General features: G+C 36.9%; 1 long non-coding RNA gene across 1 annotated transcript in view, besides 1 other annotated feature; it reads left to right on the forward strand.

The window, feature by feature from the left end:
- The window catches only part of NRXN1-DT (NRXN1 divergent transcript), a 1,375,317-nt gene that overhangs the window by 1,001,176 nt on the left and 349,815 nt on the right, over window positions 1-24,326 (forward strand). The gene's annotated exons all lie outside the window — the stretch shown is intronic.
- Window positions 20,986-21,538: an enhancer, noted in NCBI's record as "OCT4-NANOG hESC enhancer chr2:52281900-52282452 (GRCh37/hg19 assembly coordinates)". NCBI's record gives its function as "activates a minimal SCP1, AML or CMV promoter by ChIP-STARR-seq in naive H9 embryonic stem cells {active_cell/tissue: H9 hESC(naive)}" and the evidence as "EXISTENCE:reporter gene assay evidence [ECO:0000049][PMID:30033119]".

A 24,326-nucleotide genomic window follows, 5' to 3' on the forward strand; every position in this document is an offset into this window, starting at 1 on the left:
TTTATTACTAATCTACTCTTTGGTTGGTATTTCAAAACCAATAGATGAAGGAGACTAATGTTTGCTTTCTGTCCTCACAGATATCCTAGTCTAGGAAGAAGTACTCATAATCAGTCACTTGTTATAACTGTCTGTTAGAAATTATAGATAGTGCTATGGTTTGAATGTGTCCCCCAAAGTTCATGTGTTAGAAACTTAATTACCAATGCAATTATATTCAGAGTAAAATCTTTAAAAGGTAATTAGATCTTGAGGGCTGTGCCCTCATGAATAGATTTATGTTATTATCACAAGAGCGAGTTAGTTATCACAGGAGTGGGTTCATGATAAAAGGATAAGTTCTCCCCCTTCCCCTCTCATGCCTGTGCACACTCTCTTGCCCCTTTACCTTCCGTTATGGGATGACACAGTCCAAAACATCCTTCTTGACCTTGGACTTCCCAGCCTTCAGCACTGGGAGCCAAATAAATATCTGTAATTATAAATTACCCGGTATGTGATATTCTGTTATAACAACACAAAACAGATATGGAAGTAAATACTAAGATGGGATCCCAATAGTGAATAGGCATTATCTATATGAAGAGAACAGAGGAGAATTTGTATGCTATGTAGAGTGACAGACATTAGTCTGGAGAGACTTTGCCACTTTTAAAGTTCTTTTTGGTGGACAATATATTAGGGCACAGAAAGAATGAAGAAGGATATCCCAGGCTGAAAAGCCAGCAATGACTGGAAAGGGTAGAGCTTTGTGACCCATGTTAACGATTAGGTCACATGAGAAATGAAAGCAGCTTGGGGCTGTGGTGTAGACATTCAAACTAAAGAGCATGTAAAAAGATGTGAAATCAAAGGGTACCAGAATGTGCACTCCAAAATATGCCACTTTATATTCTGTAAGGGATAAAAATTTATTTTTCCTTCTACCCTTCTAAGGTAGGCCACATAAGGATGATTTTGAGCTAAAGGCAATTGAGAATCAGAAGATACACAAAAAGCTCTTTAGCTCCCCCTAACCAACTAAAAGTCAAGTTTAAATTTCTCCTTTAGTAAAGTAAATTGACATTTAAAAAGGAAATTTTTATTTGTACAGCTGTCTCCCCTACGCTAATGGGGCTAGTCCAGGAGGCAGGCTTATCTCCTGAGTGACCCTTACTTGCATAACAAGAGAACTCTTATTTACTATCAGTCTCTTCCCCTCAGCTTCCCACAGTTTACCTCCCTGACCCAGAAGTTCAAAATCCATTTTCTTTCAGTTAGCCTAAAACGTATATAAGCCTCAATCACCTGGCCACTTCTTTAAGCCACATTTTTTTTTCTGAAGTCCCACGCTTATATTTATAATAAAGTTGTTTTCTTTCTTGTTAATCTGTCTTTTATCAGTTTGAGTTATGACCCCAGTCATTGAATCTAGATGGGTAGAAGAAAAAAGACTTTTTCACCCCTAGAGAATATAATTAGTAAATACAGTAGTAGAGTTTAGTCATCTTTTACTCAATGCTCAGAAAAGTCCAGTTTGGCAAATATAAGAGTTGGAGTTTGTTGAAATTCACTCAAAATGTCTCAGAATAAAATTAAAATCCAGGTATTTGAGTACAGTGCCTGAGAGTGTGTTCATGTGTGTGCACTAGAAGTTACATATCATGATACATAAAAAGCACATATTGAATTTAGCACCTTGGCAGTTACTGACCCTTGGGAATGTCATTGCTTTGTTTGTTTTGGTTCTGTCTGTTGAAGTATTTATGTACCAGAGTCAGATATTTTTGGTTTGAATCCTGGCTTTGACATCTAGCAAGTATGTGACCTAAGGAATGTGATTGAACTCTTTGTTTCTTCACCTGTCAAAATTGCATAACCTTAATTCCTAGGTTATCAGGAAGTTAGGAGTATTAAATGAGTTAGTAATTGTAAATCACTGGCATGCACTATATGTTCAGTATATGTTGTTGTGGCAGTGATGATACTGGCGATGACTATGATGGTGGTGGTGATGAAGCCTGATAAGCTAGCTTTTGTAGGTTTTAAGGGTAAATGAAAGACAAGTAAATACAAGTTATAAGTATAGGTAACTCTTTTTATAACTAAATTTTTGAAGTGGTGCATGAGATAGGGCTCTAGTTCGTAAAAATAATCTGACCCTCCCCAAAGAAAGATATCTGCTGTTTGCCCTCAGCTTCTTGGAGTTAATTCTTGTTTGCCTAGAGGACTTGGGGTAGCCAGACAGAAACAATGTGATTTAGGGTGAGGATTGGCCATGCCTGACAGTCTTAGGGCAGAGCTGGCCAGCTAGAAAAAGTAACCAAGTCATTAGGGTGAGAGCTTTGAGTCATGTGCCATCAATTGACTTGAAATTCAACCATGGGGGAAATCAATCAATCATATTTATGTAAGGATGTCCCAATAAAAAAACCTGGACAATGAGTCATATGTGAAATTCCTTCAGTTGGCAGTACTCTGTGCATATTGTCACACATCAATTGCAGAAGATGTAACATGTCTCAAAAACACAGGAAAAGCTTTGAATCTGAGTGTTATTTGGGATACACCCCAACCACATTCTCTACTGAATTTATGCGTCATGTCAAAAGTGAGTGTGGTCTTGTGTGGACTCTTCTCTCTAACTTTCTAATTAGACTCCAGCATTTTGAGGTTGGTTTCTGAAGCCTAGAGAAGACTTGGCCACTTGGATGACTGTGCCTTGAAACCATGAACTTGGGCTAATATGAGGTAGTCTCTAGCTGAAGGAAATTTTGTGGTTTAGGAGAGTGCTTCAATTATGTTAACATAATTACTTCATTATTGTTATCAAATATGGAAAGCACCACAGGAATAAAAAAAAATATTGACAAAAGGAAAAAGAAAATCAGCCCCAAACTTACTACTAGGGGACACCAGTTGTAACACCTGGCATACCTGGTTTCATAAATATGTTAATGATCTTTATCAGTTTATTTATAACTAGAAAATTAATTGGGGATATGTTTTTATAAGAATAGGATAATTCTATATATGTGGTATAAGAGTACAATATATTAAGTTAACATTGTCTTGAATTTAAAGGAAGAAAAACAAAAACAAAGTAAATGAGAATCATTGAAATATTTCAAATAATTTAAGTGCAAGTGGAAACCAAAAATAAAATTCTAAGCCTTCCAACCAACTGCCATTGTTAACCAAAGTTAACCTGAAAACCTAGTTCAGGCTATGCTGGGAAGCAGGTGTCCGACATGTCTCCTTATACCTTCCTCCTGTTGGAATTCAGGCATAGCTGACCAGCATTAACATTAAAATAGAGAGCTTAAAACTAATAGAACAGACTCTTTGAGTCTGATAAGAAACACTCCCTTCTACAGATTCTATCTTCACAATGGGAACCTTGGTCTCCACAATTCTTTATCTTAACACATTTATGCCAAAGATTGCAAATGTTTTTTGTGAAAAATCAGGACTTGGCAGTGACCTTGAACAGCAGGATACAAATAACTCCCACAAGCTTAGCGTTCCAATAATGGAACACTAGGCATAAATGAGCTAAACCAGATATGCCCTTCTATTGATTCTAGATCTTTAGACAGTAAGTGAACTCTTTAAACCAGTTGCCAGTTAGCAAATTCTTGAATCCACCTATGACGTGGAAACCCCCCACCACTTCAAGTTATTCCACCTTTCTGGACTGAAACAATGTACATCTCACATGTATCAAATGCTGTCTATGTCTCCCTAAAATGTATATAACCAAGCTGTAGCCCCACCACCTTGATCACATGGTTCTCAGAATCTCTTGGGGCTATGTCACAGGCCATTGGTCATTCAGATTTGGCTCAGAATAAATCTCTTCAAATATGTTACAGAGTTTGACTGTTTTCATTGACACAAGTCATCATCTTTTCCCAAGAAAAAACTCACCAAATTTAGAAAGAATTGCGAGAACTATTGAAAATCGAAGTACTTTAAAAACTGTTGTTTCACTGTAGTTGGCTTTGATACACTCCTTTAAATTACAAAGAGATGATGAAAAAAATTACAAAGAAATTTGTGTATTTAGAAATACTCCCAAACACTCTGCTCTTACATCCTGATTATGTGCTTAAATTACTTTTATTTTAAAGGTAACCACCGTTCTCCAGATTTCTAAACTCAGCCTTAAGTCTAAGTGGTTTCCTCTCAAAATTACTCATTTTCAATGGCTTCCTCATTTCTGAATTTTTTATTTTGTTCATTTCTTGGTTGACTGAATTTATGACTGATGTTCTTCAATAATATCTGTGAAAGGAAAATCTCGGGGCCCAAAAATTACTAAGCTAAAGAAAAAAGTCAAGCTGGGAACTACTCAGAGCAAACCTGCCTCCCATTCCATTCAAACTTCTCCCTCTGCTCATTGAGATAGATGCATATCTGATTGCCTCTTTTGGAAAGGTTAATCAGAAACTCAAAAGAATGCAACCATTTTTTCTCACCTACCTGTGACCTGGATGCCCCCTCCCTGCTTCGAGTTGTCCTGGCCTTTCTGGACTGAACCAATGTAGTTGTTACATACATTGATTGGTGTCTCGTGTCTCCCTAAAATGTATACGACCAAGCTGTGTTCCGACCACCTTGGGCACATGTTGTGAAGACTTCCAGAGGCCGTGTCGGGGGTTCACGTCCTCAACCTTGGCAAAATAAACTTTCTAAATTAACTGAGACCTGTTTCAGATGTTTGGGGTTCACACATCTAATAAATGCAATCGTCCAATAAAATGTCTTCTGATTTACTTCATTCACAATTTGCTGATATAATAACCTAAGATTATAATTTATTTTCCCATAGTTTTGGTAATAATATTTTCATCTAGGCTTAAAGGTTGTGCTTAATATGATGCCAGTCTTATCCTCTAATCTTATCATAAAAATATGATAAACATATTTTTAACAGATAATTTATTCATTTCAAATAGAAAAATGTTAGGTAATTTTCAGACTTTAAATGGATGAAGTTGAATGTAATACTTCTCATTGATCTCTAGCTAACAAATTTCAGAATTGCAACTATCAGAAGTAAAGAATAAACCACTAGGAGGAATTTAAAATTTATTTTCAATAAGAACTAGAAACAGTAGCAGCAAAAAGCACAGGAGTAGTCTGTTTTTCACTCATTCAGCTGTGTCAGCATCAGGTTTATGCTTGACAATTTCTCAAACAGGTGTGTGTTAGCCAGAGTGATGTCAATCAACTAAAGGTCTCAAAGCTGAGAGACAACTTGCATGGGAAAAGATCAACAGAAAAATCTGAAACATCAGGTACCTTTACTCTAGTTTCCTTTCAAACAGCATTATAACTTCAATTACCCCCACAACTTCATAGTCATTACCACTCAGAAAATAAATTTTAAATGTATGACAGTTATGGTCAACAAAACTAAAAATCAAATCAAAACAAAAACACGAAGGCACTTCCTAGCTTTCCTTAATAAGCAATAGTCAAAATTTAAATGACTTATCTTTGATTTCTTGCTCTTTTAGTAAATAGCCCTAATAATTTAGGTCACTTAATCTTTTTCTCTACTCTTAATTTTTCTTATCTCCTACACAACAGATTCAAGGTTTTTTGAATGGCATTCTACTCATACCTAGGTTTTTTTCTGTTTTTTTTTTCTTTTTTTATACTTTAAGTTTTACAGTACATGTGCACAATGTGCAGGTTAGTTACATATGTATACATGTGACATGCTGGTGCGTGGCACCTACTAACTCATCATCTAGCATTAGGTATATCTCCCAATGCTATCCCTCCCCCATCCCCCCACCCCACAACAGTCCCCAGAGTGTGATGTTCCCCTTCCTGTGTCCATGTGTTCTCATTGTTCAATTCCCACCTATGAGTGAGAATATGCAGTGTTTGGTTTTTTGTTCTTGTGATAGTTTACTGAGAATGATGATTTCCAATTTCATCCATGTCCCTACAAAGGACATGAACTCATCATTTTTTACGGCTGCATAGTATTCCAAGTATTCCGTGGTGTATATGTGCCACATTTTCTTAATCCAGTCTATCATTGTTGGACATTTGGGTTGGTTCCAAGTCTTTGCTATTGTGAATAGTGCTGCAATAAACATACGTGTGCATGTGTCTTTATAGCAGCATGATTTATAGTCCTTTGGGTATATACCCAGTAATGGGATGGCTGGGTCAAATGGTATTTCTAGTTCTAGATCCCTGAGGAATGGCCACACTGACATCCACAATGGTTCAACTAGTTTACAGTCCCACCAACAGTGTAAAAGTGTTCCTATTTCTCCACATCCTCTCCAGCACATGTTGTTTCCTGACTTTTTAATGATTGCCATTCTAACTGGTGTGAGATGATATCTCATTGTGGTTTTGATTTGCATTTCTCTGATGGCCAGTGATGGTGAGCATTTTTTCATGTGTTTTTTGGCTGCATAAATGTCTTCTTTTGAGAAGTGTCTGTTCATGTCCTTCGTCCACTTTTTGATGGGGTTGTTTGTTTTTTTCTTGTAAATTTGTTTGAGTTCATTGTAGATTCTGGATATTAGCCCTTTGTCAGATGAGTAGGTTGTGAAAATTTTCTCCCATTTTGTGGGTTGCCTGTTCATTCTGATGGTAGTTTCTTTAGCTGTGCAGAAGCTGTTTAGTTTAATGAGATCCCATTTGTCAATTTTGGCTTTTGTTGCCATTGCTTTTGGTGTTTTAGACATGAAGTCCTTGCCCGTGCCTATGTCCTGAATGGTAATGCCTAGGTTTTCTTCTAGGGTTTTTATGGTTTTAGGTCTAACGTTTAAGTCTTTAATCCATCTTGAATTGATTTTTGTATAAGGTGTAAGGAAGGGATCCAGTTTCAGCTTTCTACATATGGCTAGCCAGTTTTCCCAGCACCATTTATTAAATAGGGAATCCTTTCCCCATTGCTTGTTTTTTTCAGGTTTGTCAAAGATCAGATAGTTGTAGATATGCGGCGTTATTTCTGAGGGCTCTGTTCTGTTCCATTGATCTATATCTCTGTTTTGGTACCAGTACCATGCTGTTTTGGTTACTGTAGCCTTGTAGTATAGTTTGAAGTCAGGTAGCGTGATGCCTCCAGCTTTGTTCTTTTGGCTTAGGATTGACTTGGTGATGCGAGCTCTTTTTTGGTTCCATATGAACTTTAAAGTAGTTTTTTCCAATTCTGTGAAGAAAGTCATTGGTAGCTTGATGGGGATGGCATTGAATCTGTAAATTACCCTGGGCAGTGTGGCCATTTTCATGATATTGATTCTTCCTACCCATGAGCATGGAATGGTCTTCCATTTGTTTGTATCCTCTTTTATTTCATTGAGCAGTGGTTTGTAGTTCTCCTTGAAGGGGTCCTTCATGTCCCTTGTAAAGTGGATTCCTAGGTATTTTATTCTCTTGAAGCAACTGTGAATGGGAGTTCACTCATGATTTGGCTCTCTGTTTGTCTGTTGTTGGTGTATAAGAATGCTTGTGACTTTTGTACATTGATTTTGTATCCTGAGAATTTGCTGAAGTTGCTTATCAGCTTAAGGAGATTTTGGGCTGAGACAATGGGGTTTTCTAGATATACAATCATGTCGTCTGCAAACAGGGACAATTTGACTTCCTCTTTTCCTAATTGAATACCCTTTATTTCCTTCTCCTGCCTAATTGCCCTGGCCAGGACTTCCAACATTATGTTGAATAGGAGTGGTGAGAGAGGGCATCCCTGTCTTGTGCCAGTTTTCAAAGGGAATGCTTCCAGTTTTTGCCCATTCAGTATGATATTGGCTGTGGGTTTGTCCTAGATAGCTCTTATTATTTTGAAATATGTCCCATCAATACCTAATTTATTGAGAGTTTTTAGCATGAAGCATTGTTGAATTTTGTCAAAGGCCTTTTCTGCATCTATTGAGATAATCATGTGGTTTTTGTCTCTGGTTCTGTTTATATGCTGGATTACATTTATTGATTTGCATATATTGAACCAGCCTTGCATCCCAGGGATGAAGCCCACTTGATCATGGTGGATAAGCTTTTTGATGTGCTGCTGGATTCGGTTTGCCAGTATTTTATTGAGGATTTTTGCATCAATGTTCATCAAGGATATTGGTCTAAAATTCTCTTTTTTGGTTGTGTCCCTGCCTGGCTTTGGTGTCAGGATGATGCTGGCCTCATAAAATGAGTTAGGGAGGTTTCCCTCTTTTTCTATTGATTGGAATAGTTTTGGAAGGAATGGTACCAGTTCCTCCCTGTACCTCTGGTAGAATTCGGCTGTGAATCTGTCTGGTCCTGGACCCTTTTTGCTTGGTAAGCTATTGATTATTGCCACAATTTCAGATCCTGTTATTGGTCTATTCAGAGATTCAACTTCTTCCTGGTTTAGTCTTGGGAGAGTGTATGTGTCGAGGAATTTATCCATTTCTTCTAGATTTTCTAGTTTATTTGCGTAGAGGTGTTTGTAGTATTCTCTGATGGTAGTTTGTATTTCTGTGGGATCAGTGGTGATATCCACTTTATCATTTTTTATTGCATCTATTTGATTCTTCTCTCTTTTTTTCTTTATTAGTCTTGTTAGCGGTCTATCAGTTTTGTTGATCCTTTCAGAAAACCAGCTCCTGGATTCATTAATTTTTTGAAGGGTTTTTTGTGTCTCTATTTCCTTCAGTTCTGCTCTGATGTTAGTTATTTCTTGCCTTCTGCTAGCTTTTGAATATGTTTGCTCTTGCTTTTCAAGTTCTTTTAATTGTGATGTTAGGGTGTCAATTTTGGATCTTTCCTGCTTTCTCTTGTGGGCATTTAGTGCTATAAATTTCCCTCTACACACAGCTTTGAATGTGTCCCAGAGATTCTGGTATGTTGTGTCTTTGTTCTCGTTGGTTTCAAAGAACATCTTTATTTCTGCCTTCATTTCGTTATGTACCCAGTATTCATTCAGGAGCAGGTTGTTCAGTTTCCATGTAGTTGAGCGGTTTTGAGTGAGTTTCTTAATCCTGAGTTCTAGTTTGATTGCACTGTGGTCTGAGAGATAGTTTGTTATCATTTCTGTTCTTTTACATTTGCTGAGGAGAGCTTTACTTCCAACTGTGTGGTCAATTTTGAAATAGGTGTGGTGTGGTGCTGAAAGAAATGTATATTCTGTTGATTTGGGGTGGAGAGTTCTGTAGATGTCTGGTAGGTCTGCTTGGTGCAGAGCTGAGTTCAATTCCTGGATATCCTTGTTGACTTTCTGTCTCGTTGATCTGTCTAATGTTGACAGTGGGGTGTTTAAGTCTCCCATTATTAATGTGTGGGAGTCTAAGTCTCTTTGTAGGTCACTCAGGACTTGCTTTATGAATCTGGGTGCTCCTGTATTAGGTGCATATATATTTAGGATAGTTAGCTCTTCTTGTTGAATTGATCCCTTTACCATTATGTAATGGCCTTCTTTGTCTCTTTTGATCTTTGTTGGTTTAAAGTCTGTTTTATCCGAGACTAGGATTGCAACCCCTGCCGTTTTTTGTTTTCCATTTGCTTGGTAGATCTTCCTCCGTCCTTTTATTTTGAGCCTATGTGTGTCTCTGCATGTGAGATGGGTTTCCTGAATACAACACGCTGATGGGTCTTGACTCTTTATCCAGTTTGCCAGTATGTGTCTTTTAATGGAGCATTTAGTCCATTTACCTTTAAAGTTAATATTGTTGTGTGTGAATTTGAACCTGTCATTATGATGTTAGCTGGTTATTTTGCTTGTTAGTTGATGCAGTTTCTTCCTAGTCTCGATGGTCTTTACATTTTGGCATGATTTTGCAGTGGCTGATACCGGTTGTGCCTTTCCATGTTTAGTGCTTCCTTCAGGAGCTCTTTTAGGGCAGGCCTGGTGGTGACAAAATCTCTCAGCATTTGCTTATCTGTAAAGTATTTTATTTCTCCTTCACTTATGAAGCTTGGTTTGGCTGCATATGAAATTCTGGGTTGAAAATTCTTTTCTTTAAGAATGTTGACTATTGGCCTCCACTCTCTTCTGGCTTGTAGAGTTTCTGCTGAGAGATCCACTGTTAGTCTGATGGGCTTCCCTTTGTGGGTAACCCGAACTTTCTCTCTGGCTGCCCTTAACATTTTTTCCTTCATTTCAACTTTGGTGAATCTGACAATTATGTATCTTGGAGTTGCTCTTCTCGAGGAGTATCTTTGTGGTGTTCTCTGTATTTCCTGAATCTGAATGTTGGCCTGCGTTGCTAGATTGGGGAAGTTCTCCTGGATAATATCCGGCAGAGTGTTTTCCAACTTGGTTCCATTCTCCCTGTCACTTTCAGGTACACCAATCAGATGTAGATTTGGTCTTTTCACATAGTCCCATATTTCTTGGAGGCTTTCTTCATTTCTTTTTATTCTTTTTTCTCTATACTTCCCTTCTCACTTCATTTCATTCATTTCGTCTTCCATCGCTGATACCCTTTCTTCCAGTTGATCGCATCATCTCCTGAGGCTTCTGCATTCTTCACGTAGTTCTCGAGCCTTGGCTTTCAGCTCCATCAGCTCCTTTAAGCACTTCTCTGTATTGATTATTCTAGTTATACATTCGTCTAAATTTTTTTCAAAGTTTTTAACTTCTTTGCCTTTGGTTTGAATTTCCTGCTGTAGCTCGTAGTTTGATTGTCTGAAGCCTTCCTCTCTCAACTCGTCAAAGTCATTCTCCGTCCAGCTTTGTTCCATTGCTGGTGAGGAACTGCGTTCCTTTGGAGGAGAAGAGGTGCTCTGCTTTTTAGAGTTTCCAGTTTTTCTGCTTTGTGGTTTTATCTACTTTTGGTCTTTGATGATGGTGATGTACAGATGGGTTTTTGGTGTGGATGTCCTTTCTGTTTGTTAGTTTTCCTTCTAACAGACAGGACCCTCAGCTGCAGGTCAGTTGGAGTTTGCTAGAGGTCCACTCCAGACCCTGTTTGCCTGGGTATCAGCAACGGTGTCTGCAGAACAGTGGTTTTTCGTGAACCGCGAATGCTGCTGTCTGATGGTTCCTCTGGAAGTTTTGTCTCAGAGGAGTACCCTGCCGTGTGAGGTGTCAGTCTGCCCCTACTTGGGCGTGCCTCCCAGTTAGGCTGCTCAAGGGTCAGGGGTCAGGGACCCACTTGAGGAGGCAGTCTGCCCTTTCTCAGATCTCCAGCTGCGTGCTGGGAGAACCACTGCTCTCTTCAAAGTTGTCAGACAGGGACATTTAAGTCTGCAGAGATTACTGCTGTCTTTTTGTTTGTCTGTGCCCTGCCCCCAGAGATGGAACCTACAGAGGCAGGCAGGCCTCCTTGAGCTGTGGTGGGCTCCACGCAGTTGGAGCTTCCAGGCTGCTTTGTTTACCTAAGCAAGCCTGGGCAATGGCGGGCGCCCCTCCCCAAGCCTCACTGCCGCCTTGCAGTTTGATCTCAGACTGCCGTGCTGGCAATCAGCGAGACTCCATGGGCGTAGGACCCTCCGAGCCAGGTGCAGGATATAATCTCCTGGTTCGCCGTTTTTTAAGCCCGTTGGAAAAGCGCAGTATTCGGGTAGGAGTGACCCGATTTTCCAGGTGCCATCTGTCACCCCTTTCTTTGACTAGGAAAGGGAACTCCCTGACCCCTTGCACTTCCCGAGTGAGGCAATGCCTCGCCCTGCTTCGGCTCGCGCACGGTGCGCACACCCACTGACCTGCACCCACTCTCTGGCACTCCCTAGTGAGATGAACCCGGTACCTCAGATGGAAATGCAGAAATCACCCATCTTCTGCGTCGCTCATGCTGGGAACTGTAGACTGGAGCTGTTCCTATTTGGCCATCTTGGCTCCTCCTCCTGTTTTTGTTTTTTTTTAATTGAGACAGAGTCTCACTCTGTCACCCAGGCTGGAGTGCAGAGGCACGATCTCAAGCTTACTGCAACCTCTGCCACTGAGATTCAAGTTAGTCTCCTGCCTCAGCCTCCCAACATACCTAAGTATTTTGCTGAATTGCTCTGGGTGCTGGACTGAGCAAACTTAATAAAATAAAACTAAATGAATATGGATTCAATCACTTTTTACATTTTCATTAGTTTTGTGGTTTCAGTCCTGCTTGTTATCTTATTCAAAGGAGAATATAAGGTCTAGTAATAAATATAAAGTACAAGATTCATTTTAGCATAAATTTAATTATGTTATATAATGTTTTTTTCTTGTAATACAGAATACAATTTTGGCAGAGAAAAGATATGGAATATACAGTTACTTCTCAATCAGCCATTTGTAATACATTTTCTTTTCACTCTCCATGCTTTCCTGATAACTGGCCTCAAATCCATTTTTCTTTAATATGTGACATCTTCAGGAGATATCATGATTTTTTTTCAGATTTTACTAATGTACTTGTCTCAATGAGAAGGCCTTTAAGGTTGAATACTGCATCTGCATTTTTGTGGTGCTCAATGCACAAACCATACAAACCATACAAAGTGGAAGATTGAGATTAATCACTGAATGAAAAAATATAATGAAGAAAAGCCATGAATTCATGTCTACTGGCTACATGAGTCAATAGGAAGCAAGAATTAATTCTCTCCTGCTAAAACTTGAGCTGAGACTTATGTGTGAAAAACATGCACTGTGGAAAAATATTGTGCTGAATCCTTTGCCTCTCGATTATTATTATTTTTATATTAGTAGTAGTGCAAACTAATTATTGCCTTTATATTCTGAAAGACCAGGGTATGAGAAATAGAATTTATTAGTTCTAATCATGCATATTAAAGCTGATTAGATTACCAAAATATATTCAGGTGATATAGTAGGTATTCCTCAATAGCTGAAAAGTTTAGTACCTCATTTTTGAGAAAGCTGAAGATTACAGAAGAGCTCTTCTTCTCAGAATGTTGTTAATTGCAATTTTGGTACAAATTTTTTAATTCTCCCATGTCCATCAACTTTACAATGTAACCTCACAGTCCATTAGAACTGGGATCAAGTTGACATGGCCCATTGCTTTACACTGGACTATACAATGTGACTTGACTGTACAATGTGACTATTCCATTCTCCAGTGGTGTGTTAGATTGTGTACTGGGTTTTGCTCTCTTGTGTCTCTGTCATCACCATGAAATCATGCCCAGACTAATCTACTGAAAGATGAAAGACATGTGTAGCATAGCCAAATTATCAAAGTAGCCCTAGCCAAAACCAATGTAAATCAGCAAACATTTAGCTGTTTTAAGTGAGCCTGCAACATAAGACTGAGGCTAAAATATGGGAGTGAGCAAAATTAGATCACAAAACCTGACCAGCTGATTATAGCCTAGATTGTCAACATGGGGACTAGTGGTTTAAGTAAATGCTGAAATGCTAAGCCACTGAATTTGAGTAATAGATAACATGGGCATAAAAGTCCTAATGTTTAATTACAAATCTATGCACAAAGTGAGATGTATTTCCCAACACTGCATCTTTTTATCTTAGGAAGTAATTATAATATTTGTTGCAAAATTTAAAGTAATATGATTTAAAATACAAAATCAGTCTTGTGTTGAAATAAAAGATACTTAATTTAATAAAGAGCATTTTTTGTATTGATCCTAAAGGCAATTTCATTTTTAAATGAAAAGAGCATTTTAAAAAGAGCATTTTTTTGTATTGATCGTAAAGGCAATTTCATTTTTAAGGGAAAATTATTACACTACAATGAGAATGAAGCAAAAAGGAATCCTAGAATTTTATTCCTGACATGAATTATTCATGTCAGGAAGATGATGGTCAAGAAAGCTCCAAGTCCTCATTTCCCCATGTACACATAAAATTAAAAACTACAGATGACTAAAATAACTTTATAGGACCTCTGGAAACCAAATACCTACAGCAATCAAGGAAATACCCAATCAAGAAAAAGCCATATTCAAAATGGTAGGAAATTTCATGATATTTCTACCTATCCTTGTTCCACCATTCCCCAGCATGCAAGATATAATACAATGGAAACAGCCTAATATCCATTCTCTGTCAGGATGGAAGAAACAGAGTGAAACTTGATTGAAATGTTCTGGCCTGTCTGTGAGTTGCCCTATTGACTGGTTTCCCTCTCACCTAACCTGGAGGCTCAGACAGTGAATGAGGGCATTGTTTGGATCTCAGGCTGGAAACTGCAAAAAGCCGTGATGGTCACTGAGGTACAGGAAAACTTCAGACCTGCAGCTCTCTGGGAGTAAAACATTACAGGTAGAAGGATACAATAGAGTATCTAAGGCCCTTGGAAGAGACTGGGATGAGATTTTTTTGGGGGAATTAAGACATTTAAAAGCAGTGAGGGAAATAAAAATGAATACATAGATACATAAGTAAAGCACATGCACAGGCCCAGACAGGACCCAGGCCCAAAAGACCCATTAAAATTTTGAGCATTTACCCCAAGCTGATCTGCAGACTCAGGGACCTGTTAATTACTGAAGGTCTTCTATGCCACTCTACAAAGACTAGGAGAAGTAGTTATTTTTTTTAAATGCTCAGTTTTCAACAAAAGACCACAGCATAAAGAGGGAAGTACAGCCTATTCAAAGGAACAAAATAAATCTCCATTAAAAGCCCTAGAAGAAACACCACTATAATACTCATTAGAAAAAGAATTTTAAATAACTGTCTTAAATATGTTCGGAGAACTAAAGGAAAACAGCAACAAAGATGTAATATCAAAAAATACGTGGAAATCATAAAAAGAAGAACCTAATAGAAATTCAAGAGCTGAAAAAAATAGTAGAAAGAAATCACTAGCAAGATTCAATGACGGAAATAAGCAAAAGAAATAACAAATTTGAAGACAGGTCATTTTAAAACTATAAATCTGAAGAACAAAAGAAAGCTTATTAAGAAAATAATAAAGCCCAAGGGGCTTATAGAATATCATCAAGTGTACCAAATTTATATTAGGTGAGTGCAAATATATTTGCAGTTTTTACATTATTGGAGTCTGAGGAAAAGAAGAGAGAAAGGGAACGAAAGAACATTTGAAGAAATAATGGCTGAAAACTTCCCAAATTTGACATAAGACATGGATATACAAATTCAAGAAAATAAACTTCAAAATAGATCTAAGGAAAATCACACTGCATCACACAAACTGTTGAAAGACGAGAATCTTGAAAGAAACAAGAGAAAACGATGGGTTACTTACAAGGGATATTCAATAAGCCTATCAGCAGATTTCTCAGCAGAAACTCACAGGCCTGAGGCAATGTGATGATGCATTTAAAGTATTGAAAGAATAAAAAAATTCAGCTGAGAATTCTATTGCTGACAAAGCTGTCCTTCAAAAATTAGGGGGAATTTAAGAAATTCCAAGATAAACAAAAGCTGAGGGAGTTTATTACTAACTAGCCTTTCCCTACAAGAAATATAAAAGTGATTTTTTTCAAGTTTAAATAAGAGGGAAAGGGGCAAAACAGTAACTCCAAGATATGTGAAAGTATAAAGTTCTTCAGTAAAGTTAAATACATGGGCAGGTATTAAAGTCCTACTGCAATTTTGGTTTATAACTCAACCTTATGCTTTTTTACAAGATTCAAAAAGGAAATTCACCAAAAATGATTACATATCTATGTTGATTGATACACAATTTATAAATAGGCAATTTGTGACATCAATAAATAAAGTGTTGGTAAAGAGATAGAGCTGGGAGGAAATAGAGATTTGGCTGTAACTGAAGTTGAGTTGATATCAATTTAAAATTGATGATCAGAATTTTAGGATGTTACATGCAATCCCCATGGTAACTACAAAGAAGAATACATAAATTATACACAAAGGGAAATAAGAAGCAAATAAAAATATTTCACCACAGTGAATCAATACAAAGGAAGGCGAGGGAGGAAATGAGGGACGAAATGGCTGTAAGACATACAGAAAACAAAGAACATAATGGCAAAAGCATATACTTCCATATTAGTAGTTACTTTAAATGAAAATGGGTTTAGTGTCCAAATTAAATATCATAGGTTGGCAAAATAAAGGATCCAACTCTATTTTGTTTACAACAGATTTACTTAGATGTGAGAACACAACTGTAAAGTGAAAGAAGGAAAGAGGTATTTCATACAAATAGTAACCAAGATAGAGCAGGAGTAGATGTTGTAATATAACACAAAATAGACTTTAAGTCAAAAACTTCTACAAGAGACAAAGAGAACAGTATTAAGTGTTAATTCATTGAAGTGCTAATTCATCAAGAAAATATAATCATAAACATATAGGCACCAAATATCAGAGCTCCAAAATACATTAAACAGCATTAATAAAATTGAGCAAAATAGATAGTTCTACTAGTAGGAGACTTTAATACTTCATTTGCAATAATGGATAGAACAACCAGACAGAACATCAATGAGAGAAAAGAGAACCTGAACAATACTACAGACCAATAGGAACTAACAGAAATATATAGAATACTCCACTCAACAAAAGAATTTATATTTTTCTCAAGTGTTTTGTCCCTTACGCTTCAACACAAAATGTCTCGATACAGAGTCTGTTGCAGGAAGTCAGGGACCCTGAACGGAGGGACCGGTTGAAGCCATGGCAGAAGAACGTGGATTGTGAAGATTTCATGGACATTTATTAGTTCCCCAAATTAATACTTTTATAATTTCTTATGCCTGTCTTTACTGCAGTCTCTAAACATAAATTGTGAAGATTTCATGGACACTTATCACTTCCCCAGTCAATACCCTTGTGATTTCCTATGCCCATCTTTGATCTCTTAATCCTATCATCTCATAAACTGAGGAGGATGTATGTCGCTTCAGGACCCTGTGATGATTGCGTTAACTGCAAAAATTGCAGCGCATATGTGTTTGAACAATATGAAATCTGGGCACCTTGAAAAACGAACAGGATAACAGCAATGTTCAGGGAACAAGAGAGATAACCTTAAACTCTGACCGCCGGTGAGCCGGGTGGAACAGAGCCATATTTCTCTTCTTTCAAAAGCAAATGGGAAAAGAAAAATCACTGAATTATTTTTCTCAGCAAGGAACATCCCTGAGAAAGAGAATGCACCCCTGAGGGTAGGCCTCTAAAATGGCCCCCTTGAGTGTGGCCGTCTTCTATGGTTGAGCTGTAGGGATGAAATAAGCCCCAGTCTCCCATAGCACTCCCAGGCTTATTAGGATGAGGAAATTCCCACCTAACAAATTTTGGTTAGACTGGTTGCTCTCAAACCCTGTCTCCTGATAAGATGTTATCAATGACAATGGTGCCCGAAACTTCATTAGCAATTTTAATTTTGCCCCGGTCCTGTGGTCCTGTGATCTTGCCCTGCCTCCATTTGCCTTGTGATATTCTTTTACCTTCTGAAGCACGTGATCTCTGTGACCCACACCTTATTCATACACTCCCTCCCCTTTGAAAATCACTAATAAAAACTTGCTGGTTTTGTGGCTTGTGGGGCATCACGGAAGCTACTGACATGTGATGTCTTCCCCAGATGCCCAGCTTTAAAATTTCTCTCTTTTGTACTCTGTTCCTTTATTTCTCAACCCGGCCAACACTTAGGGAAAATAGAAAAGAACCTACCTAACTATTGGGGGCAGGTTCCCCGATAAGAGTCTACTAACTGTGCATGCCTCCCCACTCTCCCCCACCTCTGCCTGTCTAACTCTTTACTTCTTGCAGAGTCCCATGAGCAGGTAAATTAAAGCAGAGTCTTCTGCCTGCTAAATTAAAAGTAGTAATAATGACGCTGGGTAAGCTGTAGTATATTGTTTGTCTGAAAGAATGATACTCCTATCAGAAAATGATCTTCAATTCTATTAAAAAAACTTAGCAGTAGTGAGAAATCAAATTAACAGCTTTGTGGATGCTTTGCTACTGAGAGAGCATACATTAATAAAAAGCAGGAAGGTTTGACATATTTTAATATGGATTTTATATCTGAAGTCCTTATTTCCCTTCATGGCTGCAGTTTTACACCTGGTCCATAAAGCCTAGGCCAGTGATGTGTACCTTAAACACTACACATCACATTACTATTAGTGCAGTTTCCAAGAGCTTGTATGTAACTTTGTCTGCAATGAAGTTACCTTAACATAAACATTAGCATATTTATATACAATACCAAGATTTGGGGCAAAAATTGTATAAAGTTAAAGAAAATGCATATAAAAAAAAGCTTTCAAATAACAAGTGATTGATTCTTTTCTAAAGAACAAAGCTTTTCCCAACAATTGGAAAAGGATGTTAGTAAAGCTTGGATTGACCAGAAATGAACATCTGTGACTACATTGCAATGGTCAATAACCTCTCGTGCTTTTAGTTGAGCCTTCAGGGAACAGAAATTATCTTTTTAAATTAACAAGTAATAATTTTACATTTTCATGGGGTACATAGGATGTTTTGACACATATAAAGTATAGCGAACAGATCAGGGCAGAAATGATCTTTAACCAGTATCACATGTTAAAAATGTAAGCCCGGCTGGGCGCGGTGGCTCACACCTGTAATCCCAGAACTTTGGGAGGCTGAGGCAGTTGGATCACGAGGTTAGGAGATTGAGACCATCCTGGCTAACATGGTGAAACACTGTCTCTACTAAAAATACAAAAAAATTAGCCGGGCGTGGTGGCAGTTGCCTGTAGTCTCAGCTGCTGGGGAGGCTGAGGCAGGAGAATGGCATGAACCCGGGAGGTGGAGCTTGCGGTCAGCTGAGATTACGCCACTGCACTCTAGCCTGGGCGACAGAGCGAGACTCCGTCTCAAAAACAAAAACAAAAAAAAAGCAAGCCCATGGCCTTTTTCAATAAACAAGTAAAATATTTCCAGTTGCTCAGAAATCTACTTTTGCAAATCCTTTTGTTTAGCACTTGTTCTTAATTTATCATGCCACTTGCACATGTCATATACTTGGTTCACACTAATATTATCTGTATTAGAGTTTTGTAGTTTAGGAGAATCTTTGTTTGCTTATGGTGACTTGATTTCTGACAAAAACTATAGAAGTAGTGCATAAATGATAAAGTTCGATGCTTTTGTGATCAGTTTTCTTCAGTTTTATCAACTGTTGAATTTTGCCTCATATTGAACTCACACCTTTTGTGTGTGTGTGTGTGTGTGTGTGTGTGTGTTTTAGCTGTGACTGTGGCTAAACAATAGAAACACTTAAGGAAGGGGACTAATAGTTAAAATGAACATTTAAAAAATACTGCGTTGGTGGTATAAATAATTTTTCACATTTGTCAATGCTTAAAAAACTACACACTAAAAATAGAACCTTTTACTGCAAGTCAATTACACATCAATTAAAAATAACTAAACAAAAAAAGAAACCAGATTTTTTAGTAGATATTGAGCTTAATGGCCAATTTCTCATTCAAAATATTTTTTACCATAAATATGTGTGTGTGTGTTAATTGTATGTGTGTGTGTCGACTATGTTTGAAAATAACATTTACCCTCCAGCTAGCTAACTTGACAATATATGGAAAGTTTTTATGGAGTCTCAGTCTGTACCCATATACTCCTTTTCTACCAGGCCCCAGTGGATTTGATAACTGCTTATTCAAGGTGTGTACAGTTGGCTGGCTGTACTTGGATGTAAAAAGCATTTGTAGATTCAAATAACTAGGTCAAAAATATTTGAGAAAAAATACAATAACAAGACAACAGTAAAAATAATACAAATAAAAACAGTATATCAATGTTTTACATAGCATTTACATTTTATTAGCTATTATAAGTAATCTTGAGATGATTCAAATTGTATGCAAGAAGGTGCATAAGTTATATGCAAATACTACACCATTTTATGCAAGAAACGTGAACATCTGTAGGTTTTGGTATCTGCATGGGTCCTGAAATCAATCCCCTGCTGATACCAAGGGACAACTGCATTTTCAACTATGAAATCTAGATTGTAATTCTCTTCTTTTTACACCAAACAATCCACAAATAAACAATTGCTCTTCTTAAGCTTTTATCTCCCTCACAGCTGCAAGCTCCTTGAGGAAAGAATCTGAATTTCATTGCCATTTTTCTAGGGTTTAACACCAGGCTTGTGAATAAATGCTTAATACATGTTTGATAAATAGCTTTACGCACAAATGAAAGACAAGGGTACGGAATTATGGAGACTATTATAAATCTCATAATTTTTCTTCTTTTGCATTACCCTCAATTTGTACTTATAAACTATTTTTTATATAAAGTGACACCTTAATTGTTAGGATAGCATAATTATTGCAAGGGTGTACCTCAGAATTACATATAACTGAGTTTATATTCTAGATCTGCTTAAAGGTATGTGGGTATTTAGTGTCTATAAACATTGGTTTCCCCACCTGGAAATAATTATTGTCATAAACGTAAATGTACAAATAAAATGAATCTCTTAAGTAAATGTAATAATAAAAATGAATCTCCTAAGCACACTGCCAGGCACTTAGCAAATGCTTGATTCAAGACAGACATTGTTATTTCTCTCATGAAATCCACTAAAAAACCTATTTCTATATAAATAAGTTTTATAAAAATAGAATGTAGTATATTTTTCCCTTCACATTTTTTTTCTATAGTGGCTTACATTTTCATTCAAAATCTTTACACAGAAGTTAACATTCACATAAAGAAGAGTTATCAGCAATCTGGTGTTTGACATATAGATATCTTAATGATAGTGAATATCTGCCATTTATTTCAGTTGCTACATGTTTACAATTAAATACATTTTGAATTAGATTTTCAAGCCTCAAGCAGGTATTAATTGCTAATCATTTCATTCATTTGTTTAGATAGAATCAATTCTTGAAAAGTGCAGTTGAAATTCAAGGAGCAGATAGATCCTTATCTATTAAAGAAAAGTGGACCATGCTTCTTTGTTATCTTAGTTACTATAAAAGTAAAAAATTCCTAGCAAGATGTTTGCCTTTGGAGGAGGCAAACGAAGAATGTGAGAAGGAGAGCATCTGGGTAAAAGGTACAGAGCTTGTGACACTTTATGTGAATATGGAAATTAGACCTTTAGCTCTATATCAAGCATTTAATATTCTCATACAACTCCCAATTTCTGACTATGAGAAAGAAGAAATTCAGAATCTGGAGCATTGGTTCTTAATATTGACAGCATTTTAGAATTATTTAGGAAACTTTAAAAACTACTGATTTTGTATGTCCTGTCTCTAGAGATTCTGATTTAATTCACATGAGGTGTGGCCTGGGCACTGGGCTTGTTACAAGCTCCTTGAGTGATTCTTAAATGCATTCAAGTTTGAGAACCACTGACCTAAAGAAAAGGGAATGAGGCCGAGTTCAAGTAAATACTACAAAGTGTCTTCCCCAGTACCCGTTTGGAATAAGAAAAGAAGTAGTAAAATATGGTGATTTCCATGTGAGTAGGTAACTTTAGTTTACATAGTATGTTTCTTGATGATGTAACTTGACACCTTTCATCAACAGCGTTGTGACAAATTTTCTAAAAAGCTTATTTAGCTCACTCAGATTTTTCCTTTTCTAAATTAACCTATTCCAAAACATATTAGTCTGCAGTGTGACTATAATTTGGGCAATTTAAAGAACAATGTTTTCTGCCATAAGTAGTGGACACCAGAGGGGAAATTATGATATTCAAATTATAATTTCATCTATACAATAAGACAGCATAGCTAATCTTTCACCTTTAAAAAATTCAAATATTTTTGACAACATACTAAATAGTACAGTATGAAGTGGATCTACTTATATTTCTTTCCTGATGTCAGAAAAAATTGTCTATTTTACAAGTGATATTCATGGTAAAAATTCCAAATATATGGGGATCATTACAATTCTTGTTCTCCACACCTCTGATTTCTGTATTAAAGTCCATTAAAAAGCACGAAGGTGATGTATAGTGTGCCCTCAAAGCTTTCAGAGTGAATAATATCCAGCTTTTCTGGTGCTTAACACACTGCCTAGTGATAACAGTAATGATGAATTTCTATGCAGACTCCCTCAGATATTAGGAAAATGGTTTCCCTTAACTCATATTAGATGCTCAAGTTTTACATCAGTTGGCTGCCTCTGAGAAATACCCCTTAAGAGCCAAAAATATTACTTCACTTAGACAACTGTAGGTATTTTGCAAACAACACACCATGACTGGGAATTGCAAATGTAAAGTAAAATAAATAAATGTGCTCCTTGTAGGTCTGGGCTTTGTGTTAGGCAGGGAAATACTAACATGGTTTAAACTAGAGCTGTATCTCAATTTTATGAGCACCTGATTTTGTAGCCACAGTAAAGTGTTTGACAGATTTGTATCCACACTGCTTACAAAAATATTCCGTACTCTGAGCTTGCCAATAAAAGAGAGTCTTTATTTGAGAAGTTCAGACTAAAGTTGGGATGGATAAAAGAAGTAGAATAATGCCAACATAAAGAACAACAAAATAATTGCAATGTGTTCAATATATCTAACAACTAGTAGCTCAATTTTGTTATTTTACTCAGGGAGATATAAAACACACAAAGATCCTTTATGGTCACCCATCTTATAATCTATGTCATTTCCTTTCACCTTTGCTGAAATGACCTTAGTGCATTCTTAACATTTTCACATACAAAATACTACCATAAGGATGTCATTCTTCCTGCCTCTTTATTCACAATCATCTTGTATGCTACTGTTAGATTTTAAATCATATACATTATTCATCTCACCTATTTAATTAAAAATACTTTTATTAAACATTAAGTTCCATACACTATATGAAATATATAGAATATAATGGGAAATAAATGACAGTTTTACTGCCTTCAATGTCTTTATAGTCTCAACATAAAAACTTGGTTTAAAAAAAAAAAGTACTACAAACTTAATTTCAGAACTCTGTTACTGCTCATTGGAACCATTTATTTTAATATTGCCCAGTTACAGTTTTCAATTAGGAAATGTGAAAACTAATATTATTTCCAATAGGATTAACTAGAGCATTAAGAAGATAACTTTTGGAAATTATCTGGCACATTGGAGTGGTCTAAAGGTGGCATTTGACTTTGATGTACATTTTCAAGTACTCCCATTTTCTACTGGATAAAGTCATATAAGAGCATGTCAGCAATACATTTTTCACACAGTGCTTTATCATTTCCCTATAAATATCTTCAATTTTAGTCTGATTGGTCTAATGTCCATCATCTTAAATATACTGGTACATTTTTTCGTTTTTTGTTTTGTTTATGTTATCTTCCCAAAGTATAACTGTTTCCATCTTCTGTGAGATTCTTCTCCATAACTTGATGTAAACTATGTTCTTTCTTTGATCTGAAAGTCTGTATAATTACTTTTCTGTACCTGTTCCTTCTCAAATCATATACTTTGATAATGTCATAATGGATCCTGCTACAGTATCCAAAGACTAACCTATTCTAGAGCAGAAACAAGCAACTCTCTGCACCTCTTTTACTACTGTATATATGGAAGGAATTATGAGGTATCTGTTGATTGACCCATTACACACAAAATAATGATTAAAATAAAATAGTGAATCTGCTTGTAACCTGATGTCATATGGTATAGAGTGAAGAAAAATGTACTAGGTTGCACAATAAAAAATGCATTGAAGTTGAAATGAATGGTCTGAGTCTAGAGGTCTATGTCTATTTTTAGTAACATGACATCATCTAGATGTTTGCCCCTCCAAATCTCATGTTGGAATGTAATCCTCGACGTTGTAGGTGGGGCAGGGAGGGAGGTGTTTGGATCATAAGAGTGAATCCCTCATGAATGACCTGGTGCCGTCCTCATGAGATCTAGTTGTTTAAAAGTGTGTGGCACCTCCCCACTCTCTCTCTTGCTCCTGCTTTTCCTATGTAAAATGCTGGCTCCCTGCGGCCTTCTGCCATGATTGTAAGCTTCCTGAGGCCTCACCAGAAGCAGATACCAGAACCATGCTACTTATAAAGCCTGCAGAACTATGAGCCAATTAAACCTTTTTTTCTTTATAATTTACCCAGCCTCAGGTATTTCTTTATAGTAATAAAATGGCCTAACACAGAATATTGGTACTCAGGGATGGGACATTGCTATAAAGATACCTGAAAATGTGGAAGTGGGTAATGGGAAGAGGTTTGAAGAGTTTGGAGGGCTTAGAAGAAGACAGGAAGATAAGGGAAAGTTTGGAACTTCTTAGAGACTTGTTAAACGGTTGTAAGCAAAATGTTCATAGAAATATGGACAGTGAAGGCCAGGCTGATGAGGTCTCAGATGGAAAAAAGAAAGTTATTGGAGACTAGAGTAAAGATCACCCACGTTATACCTTAGCAAAGAGCTTGGCACATTGTGTTTATGCTCTAGGGATCTATGGAAGTTTGAATTTAAGAATGATGTCCTACAGTATCTGGTGGAAGAAATTTCTAAGAAATGTGT

Source organism: Homo sapiens, chromosome 2 (genome assembly GCF_000001405.40).
Source record: "Homo sapiens chromosome 2, GRCh38.p14 Primary Assembly".
Classification (NCBI taxonomy): Eukaryota; Metazoa; Chordata; class Mammalia; order Primates; family Hominidae; genus Homo; species Homo sapiens.